The sequence below is a fragment of the Homo sapiens genome, chromosome 10 (assembly GCF_000001405.40).
Source record: "Homo sapiens chromosome 10, GRCh38.p14 Primary Assembly".
In the NCBI taxonomy this organism is placed as follows: domain Eukaryota; kingdom Metazoa; phylum Chordata; class Mammalia; order Primates; family Hominidae; genus Homo; species Homo sapiens.
Genome location: NC_000010.11, coordinates 79,516,524 through 79,544,078, shown reverse-complemented (window position 1 = coordinate 79,544,078; position 27,555 = coordinate 79,516,524). Strand labels below are relative to the sequence as shown.

General features: G+C 44.6%; 2 annotated features.

The window, feature by feature from the left end:
- Positions 14,835–15,005: a silencer, noted in NCBI's record as "fragment chr10:81288830-81289000 (GRCh37/hg19 assembly coordinates)". NCBI's record gives its function as "represses an EF-1alpha promoter that drives an FKBP-Casp9 reporter gene in an ReSE screen in K562 erythroleukemia cells {active_cell/tissue: K562}" and the evidence as "EXISTENCE:reporter gene assay evidence [ECO:0000049][PMID:32094911]".
- Positions 19,999–20,499: an enhancer, noted in NCBI's record as "H3K4me1 hESC enhancer chr10:81283336-81283836 (GRCh37/hg19 assembly coordinates)". NCBI's record gives its function as "activates a minimal SCP1, AML or CMV promoter by ChIP-STARR-seq in primed H9 embryonic stem cells {active_cell/tissue: H9 hESC(primed)}" and the evidence as "EXISTENCE:reporter gene assay evidence [ECO:0000049][PMID:30033119]".

The following is a 27,555-nucleotide window of genomic DNA, read 5'->3' as shown; positions in this document are numbered from 1 at the left end:
AGGGAAAGAGAGAAATGTTCTTTCTGGTGCATGAGTTTTCATAAGAGGATCTATGTCAAGCCACGGCTCAGTTTGTTATTAAGGTATATGGCTCGTCTCTTAATTGGCAATGGAAAGTTCCAGCATTCCAAGTAGAATCTCAACCTCAGAGCCACACTATACTTTTCAAAAGCTTGGCTAAGAGAAATGCTACTCATGGATAAGTGCCTGCAGAGTGCATGCTGTATTCAATCCTCTGGACAAATATTCTTAAATCTATTACCAATTTAGCCAGAGCCATGAACCTGTGAGCTTGACTGCTTCCCACTGACTCCTTGAAGAATGACTTTTAATGCTTTGTGCTTTGGTTGAGGGACATGATACACATTATACAAAGCATGGTTTTGAACACTGATCCCCATCTGTTGCAGGGATATTGTTGAGGATGTGGCTTCCCTATGAAGCCTCTCTATGAACACCTAGAGGAGAATATGCTCTTTGGTCCTCAGTATCTGGAATAGTTGTGCTTTTTCTTAGAAACCTGCAAATATTCTGGATCTCACAATGTGTCATATATCCCTCTCCCCATCAGCAGCTAGGGTCTTAGAGCCAAACCAGTGAACAACCATGAGTCCACACAAAGAGGGCTAATCACTCGGGTTGGCACAGTCAGTGAGGTGGCATCAGAGCCTGGGGTATAGGCAAGATGCCGTAGTGGCTCGATCTGCCATGGGCAGATCCAGATGTTGAGTGTCAGGGAACCCTCTCCCTAGAGGAGGGTTGGCGATGAACATGGATCCTCCAAACCACCCTAATGCAGGTGCCTGTAGGCCATCACTGCCCCTGAGGGTTAGGGCTGGGGTTAGGGTTAGGTACGTTAGCGTGATGACATGGCACACCTGGTCCTATACCTACACCCTTCTCCTCACCAGCTCTGTATCCTTTATTAACACACATGGATGGCATTGTTGGGAGCAGCAGGAACTGCATGTGAATCAAATGCCATGTGCTTTCCATTGTTTCACCCATCACAGTCCCCAGGGGTAGGTATATTCACACCCCAAAATTCACTTCTATTATGTGAGCCAGGGAAGCAGTATAATAGACATTAGCAGTGTGGGCTCTGGAGTCAGGGAACCAGTTTCAAATCCTGCCTCCACCTCTCACTAACTGAGAGGCCTTGGGTGAGACATTTAGTCTCTTTATCTATAAAACAGGAACAAAACACTGCTTACAAACACAGCTGTGACAGGAAACACATTACATAACCACTGTGAACCATTTAGCACAGAGCTTGACCCAGAAATAAATGCTACAAAGGCATGTATTGTGGTGGTGAAGACTTCGGTTTTTTGGAATTGGATACACCTGGGTTCAAATTCCAGCTCTTCCAGGGTCAACTGTGAAAACTTCGGCAAGTTTCCAACTTCATTAATCCTCATCTTTTACAACTGCAAAATGGGGAAAATAGTGCATACAAAACTCATGGCCCACTGCTTGAGATGAACTGTGTGCTCCATAAGTGATAGCTTTAGCCACTTGTTATTTTACTGCTATACCAGAGAGAATGCAGCTCAAGCTAAACAGGCAAGAGGGAATGTCTAAGGTGATTCTGCAGAGCTGCCAACCCTATGCGGCAACTGACCTCCATCTCCAACACATGGTAGTAACAGCTGCTTAAAAGGATTGTGTTCTATGTTCTAGGCAATGAGCTGAGAGTTTTTATATTTTTGTTTTACCTGGGACTAGGTATGGTGGATCTCAATATTTTGGGGGCCACAAGTACTGTATCAGACTGGTTTCAATCAAGAGATAGAAACCACAAGTGGTTTATGCAATGGAAGTTTAATATAAAGAATTATTCAGCTATGATAAAAGAGCAACTATATGATATAAAGAGAACCTTATAGGGCTACTCTCCCTACAGGTGGAGAAGAGTACCCAAGAAGGACAAGCTTGGAATGGGGCCCCCTCCCCAGGCTGGAGATCAGACATTGTCGGAGAAGGTATCATTGCAGCCCCCTACATGGCAGAGAGATTTGCTGGGTTGCATGGTCTAGAGCTGGTTGCAATTATTGGACAAGCAGGAAACAAACCTCCACAGCCCATGCGAGCCACACTGCTGGGTTGAGTGTATGAGCATGTAGAATGATTGGGTCTCCAGTGCGGACAGAAGGCATGGATCGCGTGGTGCCTGTGTTGGGAGGATACTAAGAGGGCGATCACCATGCCAGGACAAGACTAGTTGCCTGGGACCTTCTGGGCACGTGACTGGAGCAGAGTACCACTGGATCTCCTCACACCAGCCAGACCCAGGAAGAGAAACTCCTTTCACCTGCACTGTTCTCTCAGCACCCTCCGCTGAGAAAGCTTCACGTTATGCTTAGTGTACAGGAGAAATGCTCATGGGAATCCTGTCCATTATCACAGAGCAGGTATTAGTGGGTGAATATGGAGCTGAGAAGTAATAAGTTGTAACTGGTATAGATATCATGGGGGCAATTGTAGAACGCCGTGAACACATATGCATGGGTCCATGTATTCATGAGTGTGCACATATGTGTAATTATTCATACAATTCATGGTGGATACTACTTCGAGGGTGTTCACAGACCCCAGGTAGAGAGCGCCTGGAGGGAAAATTATCCAAGGCAGGCCCATTCACAGTTCCAGGGCAGCCAAAAGAAAGCCTCCGTTAAGCACCAGAAGTCTCCGGGGCAGGTGGGGCCAGGCAGCATGAAAGAATTGGCCGCAAGAGTTCCAAACCCTGTCCCAATTATGGAGGGTGACTTTTCTTTGTCCTCCTTCTCCATTCCCTTCCATATTGCTCATGCATCCAAAGGGAGACCTGAAGACTCTCTAGCAGGGCAAGGCCATTTTCTTTTGGCATTTTTCTCTCCCCAAAGTCTAGCTGATTATCAGCTTAGTCACACAGCAGGCTATGTGCTGTGAACAACAGGCATCCTGGGTTATTTTACAAACTCATGGATAGTCATTTTGAAACCACCTTTGCAAAATTATGACTGAAACAGTGAAAGAGAGCTAACTTAACCAGCTCCATCTTGTTTCTAACCTCCAAGCTGTCTTTGTTCATTCCTGGGCGTAGGCTGAACTAACTTTGGGAGAAACTTAGTTTGTAGTTATAGTTTAAACAAAGATGGTAACAGCCCTTTCCCAATGCAGACCTCCTTCTTGTCTGGGGACTAGACTAACATTAGCCACAGGATTAGAAATTACGGTTTAGGAGTCACGCAGCTGGAGGCTACAAGATTCTGACCCTCCCTAAACTGCTTCTAAGATCAGTGCTTGAGACATGTTGCAGACCCCGCACTTGCTGGATCAGCTGACGCCACACAGATGGATAAACTGCCTCGTCTGATCTTGTGGCCCCCACCCGGGAACTGACGAAGCGCAAGAAGACAGCTTCGACTCCCTGTGATTTCATCCCTGACCAACCAGCACTCCTGGCTCACTGGCTTCCCCCTACCAAGTTATGCTTAAAAATTCTGCTCCCCGAATTCTCGAGGAGACTGATTTGAGTGATAATAAAACTCCAGTCTCCCGCACAGCCGGCTCTGCGTGAATTACTCTTCTTCTATTGCAATTCCCCTGTCTTGATCAATCGGCTCTGTCGAGGCAGCAGGCAAGGTGAACCCCTTGGGTGGTTACAATTTTGCTCCTTCAACAAAACTCCAAGTTCCTCTTTGATAGTGGCAAACACCAGTTGCCGTATTTTCTACTGTTACTGGCACAAAAAGTCCCTGTTCACAGCCCTGCTGGACGTAAGGGCCCAGGTGCTAAAAAGTTACCCCCCACCTCACCCCAGCCTCATCAGCGGGACTGGATACTGGCAGTGGGCAGAGGAATGAAATTTATTTATTTATTTTTCTTATTTATTTTTGAGATGGAGTTTCGCTCTTGTCACCCAGGCTGAAGTACAGTGGCACCATCTCAGCTCACTGCAACCTCCGCCTCCTGGGTTCAAGCAATTCTCCTACCTCAGCCTCCTGAGTAGCTCGGATTGCAGGCTCTCCTGCCGCCACACCCAGCTAATTTTTGTATTTTTAGTAGAGATGAGGTTTCACCATGTAGGTCAGGCTGGTCTTGAACTCCTGACCTCAGGTGACCAACCTGCCTCGGCCTCCCAAAGTGCTGGGATTACAGGCAGGAGCCACCAAGCCCGGTCTTTTTTTTTTTTTTTTTTTTTTTTAACATGTCATGCTTTTATTGTACTGTACTGTACTGTACTGTACTGTACTGTACTGTACTGTACTGTATTGTATTGTATTGTATTGTATTGTATTGTATTGTATTGTATTGTATTTTGAAACAGAGTCTCACTGTGTTGCCCAGGCTGGAGTGCAGTGGAGTGATCTTGGCTCACTGAAACCTCCGCCTCCCAGAGTCAAGCAATTCTCTTGCCTCAGGCTCCCGAGTAGCTAGAACTACAGGCCATGCCCAGCTAATTTTTGTATTTTTAGTAGAGATGGGGTTTCACCATGTTGGCCGGGCTAGTCTCAAACTCCTGACCTCAGGTGACCCACCTGCCTCGGCCTCCCAAAGTGCTGGGATTACAGGCTTGAGTCACTGCACCTGGCGAAATTTATTTCGTTAGATTCTCAAAAAATGTAGGACGCATGAGTGGGACTTTCTGCCTCCATCCCACATCTACCAGAGTAAGGAGAAAGTCCAGGAGCTAAGAGTATTCTGGGTAAGACTCCCCCTCCCTCGGCCGCATTGTCATTGTCAGAGTGAAGAAGGCCCCTGGAACTCCATGTGTTCCTGGCAATCCCTCCTTCCTCCCCAACCACAGACACCCCCCAACATCGTTATTTTCCCTGAGAGCATCAGGACCCATCTTCTTAGGGCCTTTATCTCGATATGCATCAGTCACTCCAAGAAGCTCAGGCCCCTAAGTCATCCCTTCCCTTATCTCCTAGGCCTGAGTCCACATATAGCTCTATGTGGCTCTCTCCACTACTCTCTAGCCTTCATTTTTCCCCTTAGCACATACATCACCTGACATATAATGCATTTGACTGGCTTGTTAGTCTCCCCTGATTGAGGGTGGGGTGTTCTGTCTCTCTTGTTTGACCACTATACCCCCAGGATCTACAAGGTGTCTGGCATGTAGCAGGGACTTAATAAACGTGGGTTCAGGAATGAATGAACAAAAAAAAGCATCTTTAGTGTCCTCTGTTCTCTGGACCTCAGGCTCCACTGCAGCCTAGTTAGTCTTGATCTTCAGGCCTAAACAAGGCCCAAACCACAGGCCTGCTTCCATACTGGCTTATCCCACCTATCTAGCAGTTTCCCAGGCTGGGCTTTGGAGACAGGTGGGCTTGGATTTGAATCCTGGCTCTGCCATTATGAGGCTTTTAACACCTCTGTGCCCCATTTTCCTTATGTGTAAAACCAGAAGGATGCCTAACTCCCGAGAATATGGTAAGTGAATTAAATGGAAGGTGTGTGTAAAGAGCTCAGCACAACTCCTCCAACACAGTAAGTGCACAATAAATTGTGGCCACGAGGGAGGCAATAGGGCAGGATGAGGAGGAGCAACAGGCTTTCTCTGGTGACATCTCCCACGAGTTGGTAGAGGAAGCCTGGCGCACTGTGCACAATGGATTCTGGTCAGGCCCTGAGCTCAAGGGGAAAGAATCCCATGATTGATTACTGATGTCTGTCATGGACATGGGGGCCGAGTGACAGGGTAGGGTGAAAGAGAGTAGCAGCCCCAAGCCATACGTTTGCCATCCTGATCTAGAATTTCCACCATTGCTCCTTTTCTTGTGCATGTCTTGACTGTTTTTAAGGGTGAGAGCTCCCCTGTTTTCAACAGCTCTTTTCTGACTTGGTAATTTCTCACCCACCCCAGCCCTGAATGGTGCAGTCTGCTCCTCTGAGCCCCAACACTCTTTTCTCTGCTGTTCCTTTATTATTTACCATGTAGCATTTTGGTTTTTAAAAATCTTTCTGGCCTCCTTTCCACACATATAGGCAGAACATGCCTTCAGGGTAGATCTCACCTTAGAGAACTAACGCAGGAAAGTGCACAGAGTTGCAAATCAGAAAATCTGAACTTGTTGTGAATTTGAGCTCATCACTTTGCCTTTTGGAGTCTGTTTCCCCAGCTGAAAAGCAGAGCCCTAAGATGGCTTTGCAGCCCATGGTATCCCAGGGCTGTGGTGAGAATCAGCATTTCACTGGGCTCTGTGGAGAGGAAAAGCTTTCATGTCTGGCCAGTCACGGTGGCTCACGCCTGTAATCCCAGCACTTTGGGAGTCCAAGGTGGGCGGATCACCTGAGCGTCAGGAGTTCAAGACCAGCCTGGCCAACATGGTAAAACCTCATCTCTACTAAAAATACAAAAATTAGCCAGGCACAGTGGCAGGCGCCTGTAATCTCAGCTAAGCAGGAGGCTGAGGCAGAAGAATCGCTTGAACTCACGAGGCAGAGGTTGCAGTGAGCTGAGATTGCTCCAGTCTACTCCAGCCTGGGTGACAGAGTGAGACTCCATCTCAAAAAAAAAAAAAAAAAAAAAAAGCGTTCATATTCTCATTGCATGTCCATGTACCCCCTCCTGCCACCAGGTCTCAAACTGGAGCTTCTGCAGATGCTCAAGATGCTTTTTCAGCAAGGGGGTAGTAGGATGAGGCTTCCAATGGGAGCAGTGGGCATTTGGCAGGCATTGACAACAAGCAGAGTTAGGAGAATGGAAAAGAAAAACCAACTTTTCTCGCCTTAAACCGGCAATTGCAAAGTTGAAAGCTAGGAAAGCTAAATGCTGCCATCTGCCGGTCATTTTCTAGGTTAGCAGCATCAAAGTAAACAGTTTTATAAAGCTCTGATTTTTTATTTTTATTATTATTATTATTATACTTTAAGTTTTAGGGTACATGTGCACATTGTGCAGGTTAGTTACATATGTATACATGTGCCATGCTGGTGTGCTGCACCCATTAACTCGTCATTTAGCATTAGGTATATCTCCTAATGCTATCTCTTCCCTCTCCCCCGACCCCACAACAGTCCCCAGAGTGTGATGTTCCCCTTCCTGTGTCCATGTGTTCTCATTGTTCAATTCCCACCTATGAGTGAGAACATGCGGCGTTTGGTTTTTTGTCCTTGTGATAGTTTACTGAGAATGATGATTTCCAATTTCATCCATGTCCCTACAAAGGACATGAACTCATCATTTTTTATGGCTGCATAGTATTCCATGGTGTATATGTGCCACATTTTCTTAATCCAGTCTATCATTGTTGGACATTTGGGTTGGTTCCAAGTCTTTGCTGTTGTGAATAGTGCCGCAATAAACATACGTGTGCATGTGTCTTTATAGCAGCATGATTTATAGTCCTTTGAGTGTATACCCAGTAATGGGATGGCTGGGTCAAATGGTATTTCTAGTTCTAGATCCCTGAGGAATCGCCACACTGACTTCCACAATGGTTGAACTAGTTTACAGTCCCACCAACAGTGTAAAAGTGTTCCTATTTCTCCACATCCTCTCCAGCACCTGTTGTTTCCTGACTTTTTAATGATCGCCATTCTAACTGGTGTGAGATGGTATCTCATTGTGGTTTTGATTTGCATTTCTCTGATGGCCAGTGATGGTGAGCATTTTTTCATGTGTTTTTTGGCTGCATAAATGTCTTCTTTTGAGAAGTGTCTGTTCATGTCCTTCGCCCACTTTTTGATGGGGTTGTTTGTTTTTTCTTGTAAATTTGTTTGAGTTCATTGTAGATTCTGGATATTAGCCCTTTGTCAGATGAGTAGGTTGCGAAAATTTTCTCCCATTTTGTAGGTTGCCTGTTCACTCTGATGGTAGTTTGTTTTGCTGCGCAGAAGCTCTTTAGTTTAATTAGATCCCATTTGTCAATTTTGGCTTTTGTTGCCATTGCTTTTGGTGTTTTAGACATGAAGTCCTTGCCCATGTCTATGTCCTGAATGGTAATGCCTAAGTTTTCTTCTAGGGTTTTTATGGTTTTAGGTCTAACGTTTAAGTCTTTAATCCATCTTGAAATAATTTTTGTATAAGGTGTAAGGAAGGGATCCAGTTTCAGCTTTCTACATATGGCTAGCCAGTTTTCCCAGCACCATTTATTAAATAGGGAATCCTTTCCCCATTGCTTGTTTTTCTCAGGTTTGTCAAAGATCAAATAGTTGTAGATACGTGGCATTATTTCTGAGGGCTCTGTTCTGTTCCATTGATCTATATCTCTGTTTCGGTACCAGTACCACGCTGTTTTGGTTACTGTAGCCTTGTAGTATAGTTTGAAGTCAGGTAGCATGATGCCTCCAGCTTTGTTCTTTTGGCTTAGGATTGACTTGGCGATGTGGGCTCTTTTTTGGTTCCATATGAACTTTAAAGTAGTTTTTTCCAATTCTGTGAAGAAAGTCATTGGTAGCTTGATGGGGATGGCATTGAATCTATAAATTACCTTGGGCAGTATGGCCATTTTCACGATATTGATTCTTCCTACCCATGAGCATGGAATGTTCTTCCATTTGTTTGTATCCTCTTTTATTTCATTGAAAGCTCTTGTTTAAACTCAGTAAAGACCCGGAGGGAGGAGGTGGCATTTACTGAGCACCTCCTGTTTATAAGGAACTGTCTTCAAGTGTGCCATGGGTACAGACATAAATTAGCACTGGATGTTGCTGATAAAGAGAGCACAGATTCCAGAGAGCCAAGGCTGCCTCTCAATGACTGCATGCCTTAAGTTCACCCTTCAACCTCTCTGAACTTCAGTTTTCTCAACAGGTAGATGGACCAGGGTGCCCTCTAAGGATCCCAAGGAAGGGCCTTAAAAGATGAAGAGGATGTTGACAGACAGTTACTGAGAAGGAAAAGAGGAGGGCATCCTATGCAGACAAAGAGGAGGGTTTCAAGAGAAGTCCTGACATGTGTCTCCTTCCCTCGTCCCCTCGTTTGTGAAGCCGAGGGGTAAGTTCCTGATCTTTAAGTGCCTGTCCGCCTCTGACTTCTGGTCAAGGGAAGGGACAGAGGAGTTGGAAAGACTTCTTGAAGGAAGAGTGAAACAAACACCTGTGTTGTAGGATCCACCAACTTTAAGAAATGGAACCATGTAATTACCTTTAAAGTATTCTATAATTTATTTACACATTATTGTATATTTTGTTTACAACATTCTACTGTTGATGGACATTTAAATTATTTCCCATTGTCTCCAGGTTTATTTGTTTTTCTGGCTTGGACATCCATGTGCATGCATTTCTTCCTCTTCTTCTTCTTCTTCTTTTTTTTTTTTTTTTTTTTTTGTTTTTGAGACAGGGTCTGTCTCAAAAGACCCTGAGACTGTCACCCAGGCAGGGGTGCAGTGGCATGATCACAGCTCCTTGCAGCTTTGACCTTCTGGGTTCAATTGCTCCTCCCCTCTCAGCCTCTTGAGTAGCTGAGACTACAAGCATGTACCACCATGCCTGACTAATTTTCATATCTTTTTGTAGAGGCAAGATTTTGCCATGTTGCCCAGGCTGGTTTCGAACTCCTGGGATCAAGCAATCCTCCCGCCTCAGCCTCCTAAAGTTCTGAGATTACAGGCATAAGCCACTATAACCAGCCATGCATGCATTTCTGTCAATTACATACCCAGGGATGAAACTCTTGGATTGTAGAGGGTGTACATTTCCAACTTTATAGATCATCACGATTTGTTATCCAAAGAGGTTGCACTAATTTAAACTCGTGTCAAAAGTATGTGAGTTCCTATTGTTACAGGTAGCTAGTCAGGCATGAGCAGGGCAGGAGAGGGCTCGACCCCCACCCCCCCACCAGTAATGTCACCAACCACCAGGCGATTGTTAAACTGTCTCTAATAATGGGTCGCAGCCTGCACCAGGGAAAGGCCATCTCCTAATAGATAGAACAAACTTGAAACTGGTGATCAGCAGCTTCCCAATAAGATCTCAGGAGTTGGGCGAGTGGGCTCAAGCATGCACACTAAGAGGCAAAATGGTGGAGTTTAACTTCTAGGGACATTCACCTGGTAGGGGAAGAATGCCTCAAGTGAGCATGCACACAACTCCAGTAAACACACTGCGTGCTCACCGCCCAACTGCTAGCAGACCACTGCACACGTGGACAGACCACTGCACACGTGGACAGCCCACTCCCAGGGAAGAATCAGGGGAGAAGGGATGTACAACCCTGGAACTATGTCAACAGATAAAACCCCAAGTCAAAGGTCAAACAGTGCACTTGATCTCTCAAGTCGTCCGCTGGCCCTCTTCCAAGTGTACTTTACTTCCTCTTAGTCCTGCTCTAAAGTTTGTTGTTGTTGTTTTGAGAGGGAGTCTTGCTCTGTTGCCCAGGCTGGAGTGCAGCGGCGCGATCTCAGCTCACTGCGAACTCTGCCTCCCGTGTTCAAGTGATTCTCCTGCCTCAGCCTCATGAGTAGCTGGGATTACAGGTACCTGCCACCATGCCCAGCTAATTTTTTTTTTTTTTTTTTTTTTTTTTTTTTTGTATTTTTAGTTGAGTTGGGGTTTCATCATGTTGGCCAGACTGGTCTGAAACTCCTGACCTCATGTGATCTGCTCGCCTCGGCTTCCCAAAGTGCTAGGATTACAGGCATGTGCCACCGAGCCAGGCCTAGTTTTTTAATAAACTTTCACTGCTGCTCTAAAACTTGCCTTGGTCTCTCATTCTGCCGTATTATGCTGTTGGTCAAATTCTTTCTGCTGAGGAGGCAAGAATTGAGGTTGCTGCAGCCCCCTAGGGATTTGCCACCAGTAACACTATGATTCACTGGAAAGACTTGAAATTGTCAGATTTTTAAAGGTTTGCTAATACAGTGGGGTAAAATGGTGTCTTACTGAGTTTTCACTTATTTTTAATAGAAGAAAAGGCATACAGATGAATTAATGTATGGGGCAGGGGAGAGTCAGTGATTTCCCAACCTCCCAATGGGGTATAGAAGCTGACATACCCTTTTTCACAGGGTAAGGAGGAGATAGGGAATGTAGACAATTCCTTTGAGGGGCAGCAAGTGATGGTTAGGGAGAATGATCAACCCAGGAGACAGAAATTAACTGTAAATGATTCGCTTTGGAATTGGAGCCTGAGAGGCAGGCATTATGTTATGGAAAAGACCATCCATCCATGTGTGGTTGCATTCTTCACTCTTCTTTTCATTTCCCAGCTTCTAGGATGTCCCAGTGTCTTCCCTGTGGATCTCCCAGTACCTGCAGGTCACAGAGTAACACAGGCTGTGGCAGAGTCACCTGGGCCTCCCAGAGCAGGGAAGACCAAGCACTGGACACCAAATTTTTCCACAATTAAAAATACACATGGCCGGGTGTGGTGGTTCACGCCTGTAATCCCAACACTTTGGGAGGCTAAGATGGGCAGATCACCTGAGATCAGGAGTTTGAGACCAGCCTGGCCAACATAGTGAAACCCTGTCTCTACTAAAAATACAAAAATTAGCTTAGTGTGGTAGCATACACCTGTAATCTCAGCTACTCGGGAGGCTGAGGCAAGAGAGTCACTTGAACCCAGGAAGCAGAGATTGCAGTGAGTCGAGATCACGCCACTGCACTCTCCAGCCTGGGCCACAGAGCAAGACTCCATCTCAAAAAAATAAATAAGTAAAATAAAGAAAAAAATACACATGTATTCATACAAGTGTTGATATTTTGAGTTTTTTTTTGTGAAAATATGTTTATTTCATTTGTCTCTTTTTCTATTATCTTTTTTCTTATTAATATGTAAGATTTAAAATATATATTCTTTGCCAGATGCAGTGGCTCATACCTGTAATCCCAGCACTTTGGGAGGCTGAGGCGAGAGGATTATTTGAACCCAGGAGTCCGAGACTAGCCTGGGTAACATAGTGGGACCCACGTCTCTACAAAAAATAGAAAAATTAGCTGAGCATGTGTCATGTGCCTGTAGTCCCCGCTACTTGGGAGGCGGAGGTTGGAGGATCACTTGAGCCTAGGAGGTCAAAACCACAGTGAGCTACGATTGCACTACTACAGTCCAGCACGGGTGACAGAGTGAGACATCATCTCTAAATAAATTAATTAAATATATATCCTAGAAATAACTCCCTTATCAATTATGTGTATTGTAAATCTTACATCCCATTCTGTAGCTTGCCCTTTTACCTTCCTATAGTGTCATTTGAAGAATAGAAGTTTTTAATTATAATATAACTGTGGTAGGCAGAATTCTCACGACCCTCACCCTTTTAAGATGTCCCCCTGAAGAGTGGACAGAACCTGTGGATATAGCAGGATGTCACTTCTGTGATCATGCTGCATATATGGCAAAAGAAATTTTGCAGGTGTAACTAGGATTACTAATTGGTTGCATATGAGTTAATCAAGAGGGAGATTATCTAGGTGGGCCCAACCTCATCACATGATCCCTTCAATCTGGGGTCTAGGGACCAGAGACAGAAAACTTCAGAGAGTTTCAAATTGCAGGAAAAACTTGGCAAGCAAATCTGGCTGGTGTTTTTAGTTGTTTGTTTGTTTGTTTGTTTGTTTTTGAGACAGGGTCTCACTCTGTGGCCCAGGCTGGAGTGCACTGGTGCAATCTCCACTCACTGCAACCTCTGCCTCCCAGGTTCAAGTGATTCTCGTGCCTCAGCCTCCTGCGTAGCTGGGACTATAGGCAAGTACCACCACTCCCAGCTAATTTTTGTATTTTTTTGTAGAGACAGAGTTTCGCCATGTTGGCTAGGCTGGTCTCAAACTCCTGACCTCAAGTGATCCACATGCCTTGGCCTCCCAAAGTGCTGGGATTACAGGCGGTGAGTGAGTCACTGTGCCTGGCCAAGGCTGACTTTGAAGATGGAGGAAGCTACGTGCAGATGCCCTCCAGGAACTAAGAGCAGGTCCTGCCTGATAGCCGACAAGGACCCAGACAAGGACCCCGAGACCTCCATCCTACAACTTTAGGGAGATGAACCTGTCACAAGCATGTGAGCGTGAAAGAGGACTCAGGGCTCCAGGTGAGAACACAGCCCTGCTGGCACCTTGATTGAAGCTGGCAAGACCCCAAGTGGAAAGCTCAGCCACACCACGCCTGGGCCTCTGGCCTACAGATCCACAAGCTAACAGATGGCTTTAAGCTGCTAAATTTGAGGATTGGTTGTGTAGCACTGGCAAACAAACATAGTAGTTGTATTCATCAGCATTTTTCTGTATTTATTTCACTTTCTGAGCTTAAAAAAATCATTCTTGGAAGGCTGGGCGCAGTGGCTCATGCCTGTAATCCCAGCACTTTGGGAGGCTGAGCTGGGTGTATCACTTGAGGTCAGGAGTTCAAGACCAGCCTGGCCAACATGGTGAAACCCCATCTCCACTAAAAATACAAAAATTGGCCAGGTATGGTGGTGGGTGCCTGTAATCCCAGCTACTTGGGAGGCCTAGGCAGGAGAATCACTTGAATCCAGGAGGCAGAGGTTGCAGTGAGCCAAGATCACACCACCGCACCCCAGCCTGGGTGACGGACGGAGATTCTGTCTCAAAAAAAAAAAATCATTCTCATAATTGATATTTTCTTCTAAAATTTTTACAGTTTAATTTTTCACATTTAAGTATTCCAAATCAAATTTTTTCTATGGTATGAGGTAGAGCTCTGGTTTCTCTTTTCCCCCATAATGATAACAATTTTTCCTGGAACTACTTATTGAAGAGCTCATCATTTCTTCACAGATCTGCAGTTACAATTCAGTCATGAATCCAATTTCTATGTAAAGGAGAGTTGGTTTCTGGCCTCTTTATTTTGTGTCATTATTTAACTTGTCTATCACGGTGTAATTGTGTAAACCAGTCTGCCTTAATTACTGTAGCTTCCTAGTTATCTGCTAGATGTCTGCTAAAGTAACTTCCTCATCTTATTCTTCAAGAGTATCTTGGCTTTTGGCTTTTTCAAATAAGATTTAAAATAGATTATCAAATTTCATTACAGGCTCACTCCTGTAATCCCAGCACTTTGGGAGGCTGAGGCGGATGGATCACCTGAGGTCAGGAGTTTGAGACCAGCCTGGCCAAAATGGGGAAATCCTGTCTCTACTAAAAATGCAAAAATTAGCTGGGCGTGGTGGCGTAAGCCTGTACTGCCAACTACTAGGGAGACTGAGGCAGGAGACAGGAGAATCACTTGAACCTGGGAGGCGGAGATTGCAGTGAGCTGAGATCACACCTTTGCATTATATCCTGGGCCACAGAGCAAGACTCCGTATCAAAAAAAAAAAAAAAAAAAAAAAAAAAAGCTGTTAGGATTTGTTTGAATTATAGTACATGTTGTAGCTATAAATCAGTTGGGAGACTGACATCTTCAAAAGACTGAATATCCCAATCTATGAATATGGCCCTATCCTTTTCAAACTAATGCAGGAACAGAAAACCAAATACTACATGTTCTCATGTATAAGTGAGAGACAAATAATGAGCACACATGGATGCATAGAGGGGAACAACAGACTCTGGGGCCTATGGGAAGATGGAGGGTGGGAAGAGGGAGAGGAGCAGAAAAAATAACTAGTGGGTACTGGGCTTAATACCTGGGTGATGAAATAATCTGTGCAGCAAACTCCCATGACGAGAGTTTACCTATATAACAAACCTGCACATGTACTCCTGAACTTCAAATAAAAGCTGGAATATGGCCTGTGTCTCTTTTGCCTAAGACTTCTTTAATGTTTTTCTCTTGTTCTTGTTGTTTTTGTTTTTGTTTTGTTTTTGAGACACAGTCGCATTCTGTTGCCCAGGCTAAAGTGCAATGGCACGACCTCGGCTCACTGCAACCTCTGCCTTCCAGGTTCTAAGAGGTTCTCCTGCCTCAGCCTCCCCAGTAGCTAAGATTACAGGCACATGCCACCATGCCCAGCTACTTTTGTATTTTTAGTAGATACGGGGTTTCCCCAAGTTGGCCACGCTGGACTCGAATTCCTGACCTCAGGTGATCCACCTGCCTCGGCCTCCTGAAGTGCTGGGATTATAGGTGTGAGTCACCATGCCTGGCCTCTTTAATAGCTTTCATAAAGATATATAATTTTTTCCACTTACACATCTTTTGTTAAATTTATTTTTAGGCATTTTGTATCCTTTATTGTAACCATAAATGGTATCTTTTTAAAATTTGTCCTTTCTGTTTGTGGCTGCTAGAAGTGCGAATGATTTTTATATTTTGTATCCCACATTCTTGCTGAATATTCTTATCCATTCTTTTAAAAAAAAAAAAATTTGAGATGGTCTTTCACCATGTTGCCCAGGCTGGTCTCGAACTCCTAAGCTCAAGCAATCCTCCCACCTCGGACTCCCAAAGTGCTGGGATTACAGACATGAGCCACTGCACCAGGCCTAAATATTCTTATCCATTCTAATAACTTAGCTGTAGATTCTCTTTGCCTTAATTTCTTTAATAGATATAGGATAATTTGGATTTTGTAATTTGTGTCTTTTGAGGAAATTTGTCAGTTTCATCTAGCTGTCAAGTTTATTGACATGAAGTTGTTTATAATATTCTTTTATTTTTAATATCTGTAGGATTTAATTGACATCTTCTTTTTGTTCTCAAAATTGGACATTATGTCTTTTTTCCTGATGAGTCTTGCTGGAAGTCTTGTTTTGTTTCTGCTAGGATTTTATCATGTAGTTGTGTTGTATTGTCCATGAGTTTTTGGTTTTGTCATCTAGTTACTCCGTTGGTATGTGATGATGAGGGGAGATTTAAAAGTGACGTCATCGTCATTGCTGCCATTTTCTAGAAACCTACGCTTTTATTTTTGAAGTATATTTCAGTGGGTAGAATTTTATGTTGGCAGATTTTTTTCATTTCAACATGAAAAATGTCATTCCGTGGGTTTCTGGCTTCTGTAGTTTCTGATGAAAAGTCCTTCTCCTACTTATTGTTGTTTCTTTGAAAGTAATATGTCTTTTTTTCCTCTGGCTTCTTTTGAATGTCTCCTTTTATCTTTTTTTTAGCAATTTAATCACGACTTTTTTTCTATTCACCTGCTTAGGATTTGCAGACATTCCTGTCTGTGAATTAATGTCTTTTATTTGTTTTGAGATTTGTGGGGGAACATTTTCTCTTTTTTAAAATTTCCTTTTATTTTTATTTTTATTTTTATTTTTTTAATTTATTTTGTTGTTGTTGTTGTTGTTGTTGTTGTTGAGACGGAGTCTCACTCTGTCACCCAGGCTGGAGTGCAGTGGTGCGATCTTGGCTCACTGCAAACATCGCCTTCTGGGTTCACGCCATTCTCCTGCCTCAGCCTCCCAAATAGCTGGGACTACAGGCGCCCGCCACCACACCCAGCTAATTTTTTGTATTTATAGTAGAGACGGGGTTTCCCCGTGTTAGCCAGGAAGGGTTCGATCTCCTGACCTTGTGATCCACCTGCCTCGGCCTCCCACAGTGCTGGGATTACAGGCATGAGCCACCGTGCCCGGCCTATTTATGTTTTTTGAGACAGAGTCTCACTCTGTCATCCAGACTGGAGTGCAGTGGTGCAATCTTGGCTCACTGCAACATTCGCCCCCCAGGTTCAAGCAATTCTCCTGCCTCAGCCTCCAGAGTAGCTGGAACTACAGGCACCCACCACCATGCCCGGATAATTTTTGTATTTTTTGTAGAGGTGCTCTCTACCTCCTGTTATGGAGGAGGTAGAAACTGGTCTCAGTCTGGTCCAGTCTGGTCTCAAACTCCTGACCTCAAGTGATCTGCCCGCCTCGGCCTCCCAAAGTGCTGTGATTACAGGTTTGAACCACTGTACCCAACCCCATTTTCTCTTTAAATAGAGGTACTGTTCCACTTCCTTTCTGGTTCTGGGACTCTAATTCCTCACAAGTTAGACCTGTCTGACATGTTCCATGTCTCTTGTTAACTTTCCTATATTTCCCATCGTTTTCTCTCTCTCTAACCTTCAATTTCAGTGTTTTGTACTAACCTAACTTCCACTTCTTTAATCCTCTCTTCTGTTTTGTCTAATTTGCTGATAAATCCATCTATTGGGTTTTCAATTTCTGTTATTTTCTCAATTCTATATCCTTTTTAATCCTTAAAAAATAAAGTCCAGGTATTTGGTGAAATTCTCTATATTTTCTTGTTATTTTATTTTATTTTTTTGAGACAGAGTTTCACTCTTGTAGCCCAGAATGGGGTGCAATGGTATGATCTCAGCTCATGCAACCTCTGCCTCTTGGGCTCAAGCAATTCTCCCATCTCAGCCTCCCAAGTAGCCGGGACTACAGGTGTGCACCACCACACCCAGTCAATTTTTGTATTTTTGGTAGAGATCGGGTTTTACCATGTTAGCCAAGCTGGTCTCAAACTCCTGACTTCCAGTGATCTGCCCACCTCAGCCCCCCAAAGTGCTGGGATTACAGGTGTGAGCCACTGCACCCCACCAATATTGACTTTTTAAGATATGTAATACATTGACACTCACCATAAGCCTCTGCCCTCGTTCTGCAGGTCGTGAAGGTGTTTATTGTCCTGACCCCACAGTTTCTGTCCCGTGACAAGGACCAGCTGACCAAGGAGCTGCAGAAGCATGTAAAGTCAGTGACAGTCTCATGCAAGTCCCCAAGGAAGGTGAGTGAGGGCAGATGGAAGGGGTCTGGTGCTCCTGAATAGCTCCCAGTGCTCCTGCCCCATGTCTCATAGGGTGGCTGTGCAGGGGAAAGCTTAGGCAGTCACAGTACTGGCTTTTTCTTCTGCAGAAGAAGGAATTTGGTTTAGGGATGGGATGGCATAGTTGATTTATTTGGATGGAAATTGCTATCTTGTGTCAGAAACCCAAAAGGAATCATTGCTGGCATGTTAACCTAAAGACAAAAATCAGTCAAGTGCCCAAGGATATTTTTAAAAAGGTTATTTATAATCCTGTAAAAATTAAAAAAAAAATCCAAATCAGCAGCTTCCAAACTTTTTCTAACATGATTCATAGGAAGAAATATGTTCTGTCTTGCAACTCAAAATATATATACATACATATAACAAACAAAAATTAATAGAATGATATTTATCTTTATAAATGCAATGCATTCTGATATGTTTATTTTAATTCAATGCCTTGTGCAACCTACAAAAAGTCAAACAATAGAGAAATAAGGTTTTCATAAAATTGAATATAACCCTGCAATTTAAAATAATGATTCAGTTTTTTATATATTTAACATATATCTCAACACATATTAAGAGAAAAAAGCGTACTATGAAAAAGTATACGTGGTATTATCCTACCCCTTTGAAAATAAAGTGCAAAGAGATACATATGCCAAAAAGTTAACACTTCCTTCTTTGTAATACTTTGCTGCAGTGTCTGAGTATTTACAGTCAATACACATTATGAAGCTACATGGCTAACCTTGATTGAGTACTCACTGTGTGTGCCAGCCCCTAGGCTCAATGCTTTACATGGATTTTTATTTCATTAAATCCTCTCTTCCACCTGAGATAGCATAGCAAACCATTTTACAAAAACAAAACTGAGGCTCGGAGACTCAAAGTCAAATGCCCGAGGTTGCAGTCATTAAGAGGCAGGGCTGAAACTGAAACCTATGTGTGTCTGACAAGTTCATGTTCTGAGGGTAGGCTAGCCTGCTTCACAGAGCATGAAATAGATGGTGCATGCCTGCTACGATGGGCCAGATATCACTGTAGGTTCAGTGGACAGCCCCAGACAATGGAAATTTACAACACTGAAGGTTCTTATCCTGCTCATGCGGCACGTCCACCATGGCTCTGCTGGGCCTTGTGCTTCACATCCCCTCATCACCTGTCAGCTTCTCTAAGAGATGGAGGAGAGGGTGGCCAGTCTCAGGGGCTCCCAACTCTTCTGTCTTGAAGTGACACGCTTCACTTCCACTCACAGCTCCTGAGTCACATCACACGGCTACATCCACCTTCAAAGGGTCAAGGGGAGAACCTGACACACTTGGTGGATTCCATTAAGGCGACCATATGGTGTCAGCCTGTGTGGGAGACTGTGGAGGGGCAGAGGAGGAGGGTAGGGAATTGGTAAGTCACTGTGGATTTCCCTTATACTTAACCAGATGGAGTTTGTCCCGGAGCTGCGGAAAACTGTCACTGGAAAGATTAAACAAGGTGAACTTGAGAAAAGGAGCTTGGTCAGATGTAATCAGCAGTGAACTCGGAACCAACTGGCACCTTCGGCAAATCCCTGGCCACTTCAGTCTCCCCACTAGGGCGGGGTGATGATGAGACATTGAGAGGGTTGATTTGGAAAAGCATCAGGAGGACCACAATTCCAATGTTTTTCTTTTCTTTTTCTTTCTTTTCTTTTTTTTTTTTTTGAGACAGAACTTCATTCTTGTTGCCCAGGCTGGAGTGCAGTGGCGTGATCCTGGCTCACTGCAACCTCCGCCTCCCGAGTTCAAGCCCTTCTCCCATCTCAGCCTCCTGAGTAGCTGGGACTGCAGGTGCCCGCCACCACACCCAGCTAATTTTTGTATTTTTAGTAGAAATAGAGTTTCACCGTGTTGGCCAGGCTGGTCTTGAACTACTGTCCTCAGGTGATCCACCCACCTCAGCATTTCAAAATGCTGGGATTTCAGGCGTGAGCCACCGCACCCGGACTGTTTTTGTTATTTTAAGTTACATTCAGTTACTCTGCTTCCTCCAACTCCTCTCTGTGTCTTTAGAATTTCCCAGGTGAGTACACAGATTGGAGTTCCAGGTAATAAAATATTAATTTCGACAATACCCTGTGTGGAGCATTTGTTCTGGGAATGAACCTATGTTAAATGCCCTCCTTCTGTAGTTCTCCCTAATCCACAACCTGAAATATCTTGAGACCAGATTCTCCCTCCTGGCACCAGTTTCTCAGGGTAGCCCTAAGCACCCTTCAATGGCCAAGACACAGGGGTCCAGGAGGTGTGCCCCATGTGGCACCGGGCACGTGCCTGTGCCCTGGAGTGAGGCCCCAGGAAGGCCGGGGCAGGGCAGATGTCCTGGGTGGTCAGCCTTGGCTTGGGGACTATATTTGCCTGCCAGACCACCGCTGCCTCCCCCACCCAATGGTCCTTTGTGTCCCCCAATAGTGCCCATGTGCACATGTGCCCCAGCCTAAACCTGGCATGTGTGAGTGAGGGCCTCAGCCTCTGGGCACCCAGCACTCCTCTAGCCCTGCCCCTAGCTATCCCCTGTAGTCACCTACACATCAGACCTTCCAAGTGGCCCAGGAGCTCTGTCCCCGAGCCCTTCCTAGAGGACCTCACTCATTCACCCTCCCAGGGCCCAGGCTCCCTCCAGCCCAGAATCCTCCCCCCACAGACAATCTTCCTTCTTTCAATATAACTCTCTCCGGCGACCCAGAGTCCTCCTCACAACCCTGGCCTGGAGTCCTGTGACCTGACCCTTCATGCCGTCCCTCCTTGGGGCCTAAGAGGGACCACCAGGGGGCCACCAGAGGCTCAGAAAAGCAGGGGCAGAAAAGGCCCTGCCGGGGGATGAGAGAAGCACATGCTGTCCCCTTCTCAGCCACCCCTGGAGGTCAGCACTGGAGAGGCCTCTCTGTGACTGCCAACTTCCGAGGTGCACAAACCCAGAAACTCACAGGGAGATAAACAGATACCGCGAGCACAGAGACACAGAGGCACAGAACCGCCCCAGCTTCACCTGGGCACTCAGGAGTATGGCCCACGGACAGGCACATAAACACACACACCAGGAGGACACAGATACACACACAGAACCATGAGACACAGCCCCACAGGGCTGACTCTACACACAGTGGACACCCACGTGTGCGCACACGTGCTCACATACACACACACACACACACACACACTGGCACAGACCCACAGGCAGAGAATCAGACATAGAACACACACACTACACAAAACATAAACACACAAATACAAACACAATCAGGGACACCCAAAGGAGAAGCAAATTCACACGCACACACCTCAACACATACACAAAGATACAGAAGCCAGGTATACACAGACACTCCCACAGGGGGCACACATGCCAGAGACACACACATTACCCAATCAGAAACACAAACACAGATTTGCACAACCAACACACACTCATTCAGAAAGAAAGGACACCCAAATGCATACAAAGATAGAGAAAAACACAGAGCCACCCTGAGACAGCTACACAGAGACATAATCACAGACACAGACACTCAGATGCACAGATGAATATATGCAGATTTACGCACCCAAACATGCACACACTCCCAGACCCCAGCCCACAGTACAACCAGAGGTGGCACTCCAGAGGGCAATCCTGGGACCAGCGGACAGAACAGACCCAGGCATGACCTGGCCCTCCTGAGCTCTCTTGGAAGAAAGTATTTTCCAGGTTTCAAACCCAGGGCTGGGGATGTGCCCCTTCCAGGGCCTATAGAAGGGCTGTGCCTGGGCCCGGAGATGTCAGAGACAGGCCAGGGTTGGGTGACTCTGGGAACAGGAGCACAAGGTTGGGCCCAGTACCCTGTCTGGGTATGATTAGAGTGGGGGTGTTGCGTGGTGCTTAGTAGATCTAGAGGTCAAGAGAGAAAGACAGATGTGCCCCCAGAACCATGCCCTGTGCCTGAGTGGGCTGGCACTCTCTGCGTCACAATAATGCTATGAGGAACATGCTATGATATATCCCCATCATCACAGCTGTGACTGACCCTCACTCATAGATGGAGGTGCTGGGCTGGGAACACAGCCACCTGGTTGGACCTCATCTGAGCAGGACTGACCAGGGCAACGCTGGGTCCTGGGCAAAGCATCTCTGTGGCCGCATCTTCCTGGGGAGTCTCCAGACCCAGGTTCCCCTTCTCCTAATGTCCCCTCCGATAATCAAGTTCCCCCAGATCTGTTTCTCTGCCTGGATACACCCCCTCCCCCAACCACTCTGAACCTACATCCCCATCTGTGCAAAGGAACAGTGATAGTACTTCAGGATCTCAGGAGATGATGCCTGCGAAGTGCTATGCTTAGCACAGTGGCGACAAGAGGGGCTGCTGTTGTCATCATCACTGCCTTTAGTGGCCAAGGACCTCCCAGGGTGCCAGTTCTGGGAAGAAAGATGCCCCTGGGAGGTTACAATGCTCAGGTACACAGCTGCTCAACCACTTCCTGCTGTCTTCTGATAGTCTTTGCACACAGCCATTAGCACTCCAGTTGTACAGAAGGAATCCAGCCCAGCGTTGCACAGCTGGTCTCCCAAGGTGCCTCGTCCTGCCAAGGGCCCCTGGCCAAGCCTCCAAGGGACCATGAGGGGCCCGCCTGCAAGGGAGGTTGACTCTGGCTTTCGGGAGGTGTTTCCTGGTTACATGAATGACTTCTCCTTGTCTGAGGGCCCAAACTCTGTTCGCTTCTCCTTCCTTTCCCTCTCTCTGCTTGGGCTATAATCAAGGTGACCCCACAACACTTCATGGACATCACAGGTCTCCCATTCACTTTCGGGCTAATCTGACTTCAACTCCCCTTACTTGGTCTTTCCTTTTACAACCAAGACAACTCAAATCTGGGGGTCTTTATGCAGGTGACAGCACACAAATAGAATTTAATTCCATTGTTTTGTTGTCCCTGTTTTTGTTTTGTTTTGCTTGTTTCTTAGGGTTTCTTTTTATTTATGGTAAAGGCATTGGCTTTCCATTTACAACGGTGATAGAATATTTCTTGTTTACAATAACCTTGTGTCATCATAAATGCTGAAGGGATTTAAAGCAGTGGTTTTAGGCTGCCAGAGGACTGAGTGAGTTTGGGCACACTCTGTGTCATCAGGCAGAAGAAGGCCTCTGGGAAGTTTAGCTGAGGACAAGGCCAGCAAAGCTGATGGCCAGTTGGGGTGTCTCTCCTGGTCACCAGGCCCCTGGGTCCTGCCCACCTGCTTGACACTCCCCATCCATCACTCCTGGTGCTGCCAAGCCCTCTGGGTATTGTGGCCAAATCCTCCAGGAGAGAAGCTGATGAACTTTGTCTCTTGAAATACACAGATTCCTTGGACATCCCTGGGAGGTCAATCGTGAGAGTCAACTTGGTTTTCTTTCCCTCATTAGGGTTCAAAGCTTAAAGTCCATGCTCACAGGCAGTAAGATGACATAGATAAGTGACATCATTACCCCGTTTCAGATGTTAAAGTGTCTAGGTGGATTAGGGATGATTTAAGACCACACAACCTTGTGCCACAAAGTGGAATTCCCAGGCCAGATGGAGACATTTTATTGCCGTATTATGATCTTATCATTGAGTGCAAAGGCAGTCTTGTTTCATTTTGGATTATTTCTTATGTTTGTGTCTTACTTATAAGGGCGTTGGAATTTCCAAGCATATGAGAATTTGTGGTTAGCTTTTTATCATTGACTTCTAGCATAATTATATGATCAGAAACATGCTATGTGATTTGATTTCTCTGAAATGATTGAGATTTGCTTGATGAACAAAATAAGTAGGGTTAATTTTTGTAAATGTACCATGTGTGCTTAAAATGAATGTATCTCCAACATTTATTCCCAATATACAAGGATGATGGACGGATGGCTACATGGAAGTGATGGAAATGGCTTACTATTCGGACCTTCTACATCCTACTGGTGTTTTGTTGCTTAGTACATGAATTGCTGAGAGGGGGCTGTGGAGCCTCCCACTCTGCTTGTCTATGAGGTTCTTCCTGCCTTCCTGCCATCATTTGTTTCTCATGTTTTGCAGCCAGGATTGACCATGAGGAACCCTGAGAACTCAAGAAGGAAGGAGCGGCCCAGAAGCAAGGACAGGAAGCTGGGTTTTGTAAAGCGTGTCTTGTGCAGATCACTGATTTACCCAAACCAGAAAGGGTCTTAAAGTGCTTATGATTGTCCAAATATAAAGAAATGACAGGTTTCTACTTTGAAAGTTTTCACCCTCACATTATAAAACCTCTCCACTACACTCAGGAGAGGGTGCTTTATGGAGATGAGAATATTTGTTCTGACTGGCATGCACCAGATTCTTAGGAAGGGATTTGGAAGTCTAGTGATGGGGAGCAACCACTGCATCCAGGCAGAATCACCCCACATGAATGCCTCCAATCAAAGAATCTATTGTTTCTTTTGAGGCTATGAAGGAGGAAATGTGTTGAGAATCTTTGTTGGAATTGTTTCCCCTTTACCTGGCTGCATTTTCATAGATCAGTTAAACTCTCTTTCCCTACCTCACCTTTGAAGACTTGGATACATTTTCCTCATTGCATTTTCTACTTTCACCCTTGCTCATGGCTATCGACTGTCAGAACCGAAGCTTTTACTGGCCCCATTGGACCTAATCTAGGTAGGAGCCCACTACTGATAACCTACAACCAGATAGTTGTCAGGTGTGACAAGAGTGCCCAAGATGGGGGATGAGTTCCTGGTCAATGACAAGATGGCCTTTATCCTTCTTGTACATTTGATCCACATCTTTAACCATTGTGCCCAGAGCTCCTACTCCTTTTCAGACAGAGGCTCCTCAGGGACAGTGCATCCCTCCCAGGAGCCCAGGCTGTACTCACCTCCACTGTGAGGCTGAAGACAAAAGTGCTACAGAGGTCAAAGGCTGCTTTCTAAAGAGGTTTTATTTGCACAAAACTGAGTCTTGGTGTGTGGATTGGTCTGAATTACATTTTGAATTTATTTTCTCCCCCAATACTTGTAAATCTAGTGCTTGTAAAATAGTATGTGTGCCTTTTGTGGTGGTGGCCATACATTCCAGAACATTTATATTGTTTTCCATGCAGATTTCCAAGGTTGCTACTGATTGCTTTAGGTGCAATGCTCTAAAATATGAAGGTGAACTCTTGTTACTGGTTATTTGGTGGGCTTTTTTTGGTGGGGAGGATGGAGTCTCGCTCTGTCGCTAGGCTGGAGTGCAGTGGAGCCATCTCGGCTCACTGCAACTTTCGCCTCCTGGGTTCAAGTAATTCTCCTGCCTCAGTCTCCCTAGTAGCTGGGACTACAGGTGTATGCCATCATGCTCAGCTAATTTTTGTATTTTTAGTACAGATGGGGTTTCACCATGTTGGCCAGGATGGTCTCGATCTATTGACCTCGTGATCCTCCCACCTCGGCCTCCCAAAGTGCTGGGATTACAGGCGTGAGCTACTGTGCCTGGCCGGTGTTGTATTTTTAACTAAATTCAATTCTCACAGTTTTAATCATAATTCCAAAAAGACTTTGTTATGCAAATTCTTTTTGACTTTGAAAATCTGACGTGACGTACGCTGTGTCAGCAGCAAAGTGAACACTGATTTTAGAAACTTGGGCTAAACAACCATCTGTGATTATTTTTGTTGGAATATAACCCAGGTATTATTATTATAGCAGCTGTCCACTCTCAGTTTTGCATAGATATAAACATATCTTTATGTCATATTTTCATCTATAACTTTAAGACTTTTTCCTTATATTTTTCTCATTCTTCCATCATACAGTGTGGACTCTTTTTTTATATATTACAAATAATGTAACACAAATATCTAAATATTTATTTATTTATTGTTTTGAGATGGAGTTTCCTCTTGTTGCCCAGGCTGGAGTGCAGCTGGGTGGTCTTGGCTCACCACAACCTGTGCCTCCTGGGTTCAAGCGATTCTTCTTCCTCAGCCTCCTCAGCCTCCGAATTAGCTGGGATTACAGGCACCTGCCACCATACCCAGAGAATTTTTGTATGTTTTAGTAGAGATGGGGTTTCTCCATGTTGGCCAGGCTGGTCACAAACTCTTGACCTCAGGTAATCCACCTGCCTCAGCCTCCCAAAGTGCTGAGATTACAGGCATGAGCCACTGCCCCCACCCTCCACCTTGGTTATTTTTAAGCACTAAAATTTGATACTTATTTCTGAATGAAGTCATCTCTTAATTGTATTTTTTTACTTACATTCTTTAAATTGCAAAGATTCATGTAATTCAAGAGAGAAGTGGGATCCAGAGAGATTCCTTTATCATGTGATACATGACAAATACACTCAATATTATATTTCAATCTAAAAAATAAGTAAATGACTTTAAAGATAATTACTTTATAACTAGTTTGTCCAACCCATGGGTGGCAGAGTGTATTCAACCCAGGACAGCTTTTCTGAATGCAGCCCATCACAAATTTCTAAACTTTCTTCAAACATTCTGAGATTTTTTTGTGATTTTTTTTTTCTCATCAGTTATTGTTAGTGTATTTTATGTGTGGCACAAGACAATTCTCCTTCTAATATAGCCCAGGGAAGCCAAAAGACTGGACATGCCTGCTTCAGACCAAGAAAAAAGACAGCCCACATTTGCACGCCTAAATACACTACCATCCATGCAAGAAACATGAGACTGGAAATTTCCAATCTTTCCTGAAGCAGTGGAATTGCCCGGGGATATCTGAGGGGTGTGGTTACTTCTTGGAGGAGGTTAAGGGTTTCTAAGGATGATTCTTTGTAACTGAAATATTGTAAATGTCATTGAGCCTTCTCATTATGTCAACTAGTAGTATTCCATATCGTCAATTTTCTGCCTGGGCATTTTCATCCCGGGCCTGACTTTTTTGGAATTCCTTGGATGCTTATCATTATTGTTGTGTCCCTGGGAATTTACAAACTTGCCATTTTCTTCTGCAAAACTAGCCTTGGTGTGAGTACACTAACTTTCCCTAGAGGTGGACTTGTAATCACAAATAAGAAATTATTTAAAACAATTTGTGGTTCTGGACTTCATTATGAATATTGGGTTTTATTTAAAAAATCAGGAAATGATTTATTAGCATAAGAATTATGAAAAATCTGCCATTTAAATTATGGCAGATTTTTAAAATTTTTTTAAATTTTTAATTCAACCTATTTAATTAAAAAATTAAATAGGTTTGTGTTTGTTTAATAGAATGTCAACAGAGCTTTTGGTCAAAAATACGTTTTTTTTAAGCCCTCTGCTCTTTATCAAAAACTGAAGTATAAAGTTTCAGCACTTAAATAAGAAATTCTTTCTAAACTTTTCTGCTTTATAGTTCTATTGTATGGGTGGAAGGAAAGCTTCCACTCTCCTCTCTAAAAGTTCACTGCAGCAATGTACTAACAACAGACAGCTTAACAGGAGAAGGAAAACATAGAACCTTATTAACATGCATAAACATGGGAGCCAGCCAAAAAATGAGACTGCAAGAAGGGCCAGATGACTGATGCTTAATGAGCACCCTCTTCTCAGGGAAACGGGAGATGGAGATGAAGGCAGGACAGCAAATGATTTTTAGGGGAAATGAAAGAGCCCAAGGAACAAACAGCTGGCCTGAGACAAAGTTCCTCTGAGATCATGAGGAAGAGGCGACAAACTGCAGGAAGGTCAAGGGCAGAACTGCACTGTGTCTCATGATGCAGAGAAAGCCCCAGAGAATCTCTTGGAACTGCCCTCCGAAGAATCAATGAAAAGTGTGTCTGGGCAGAGTAATGAGTGGTCATTTCAAATGGCATCATTCAAAGTACACATTCTCGGTTGCCACTGGAGAGGGATCGGTATGTCAAAAGTCTGTACTGGTTAAGAATGTGGCTGCTAAATTGTGCCATAATTTGGCTTTTGAGCATTTTTGTCCATTGAGTAAATCGAGCTCTACGTTTTCTCTTGCTGTT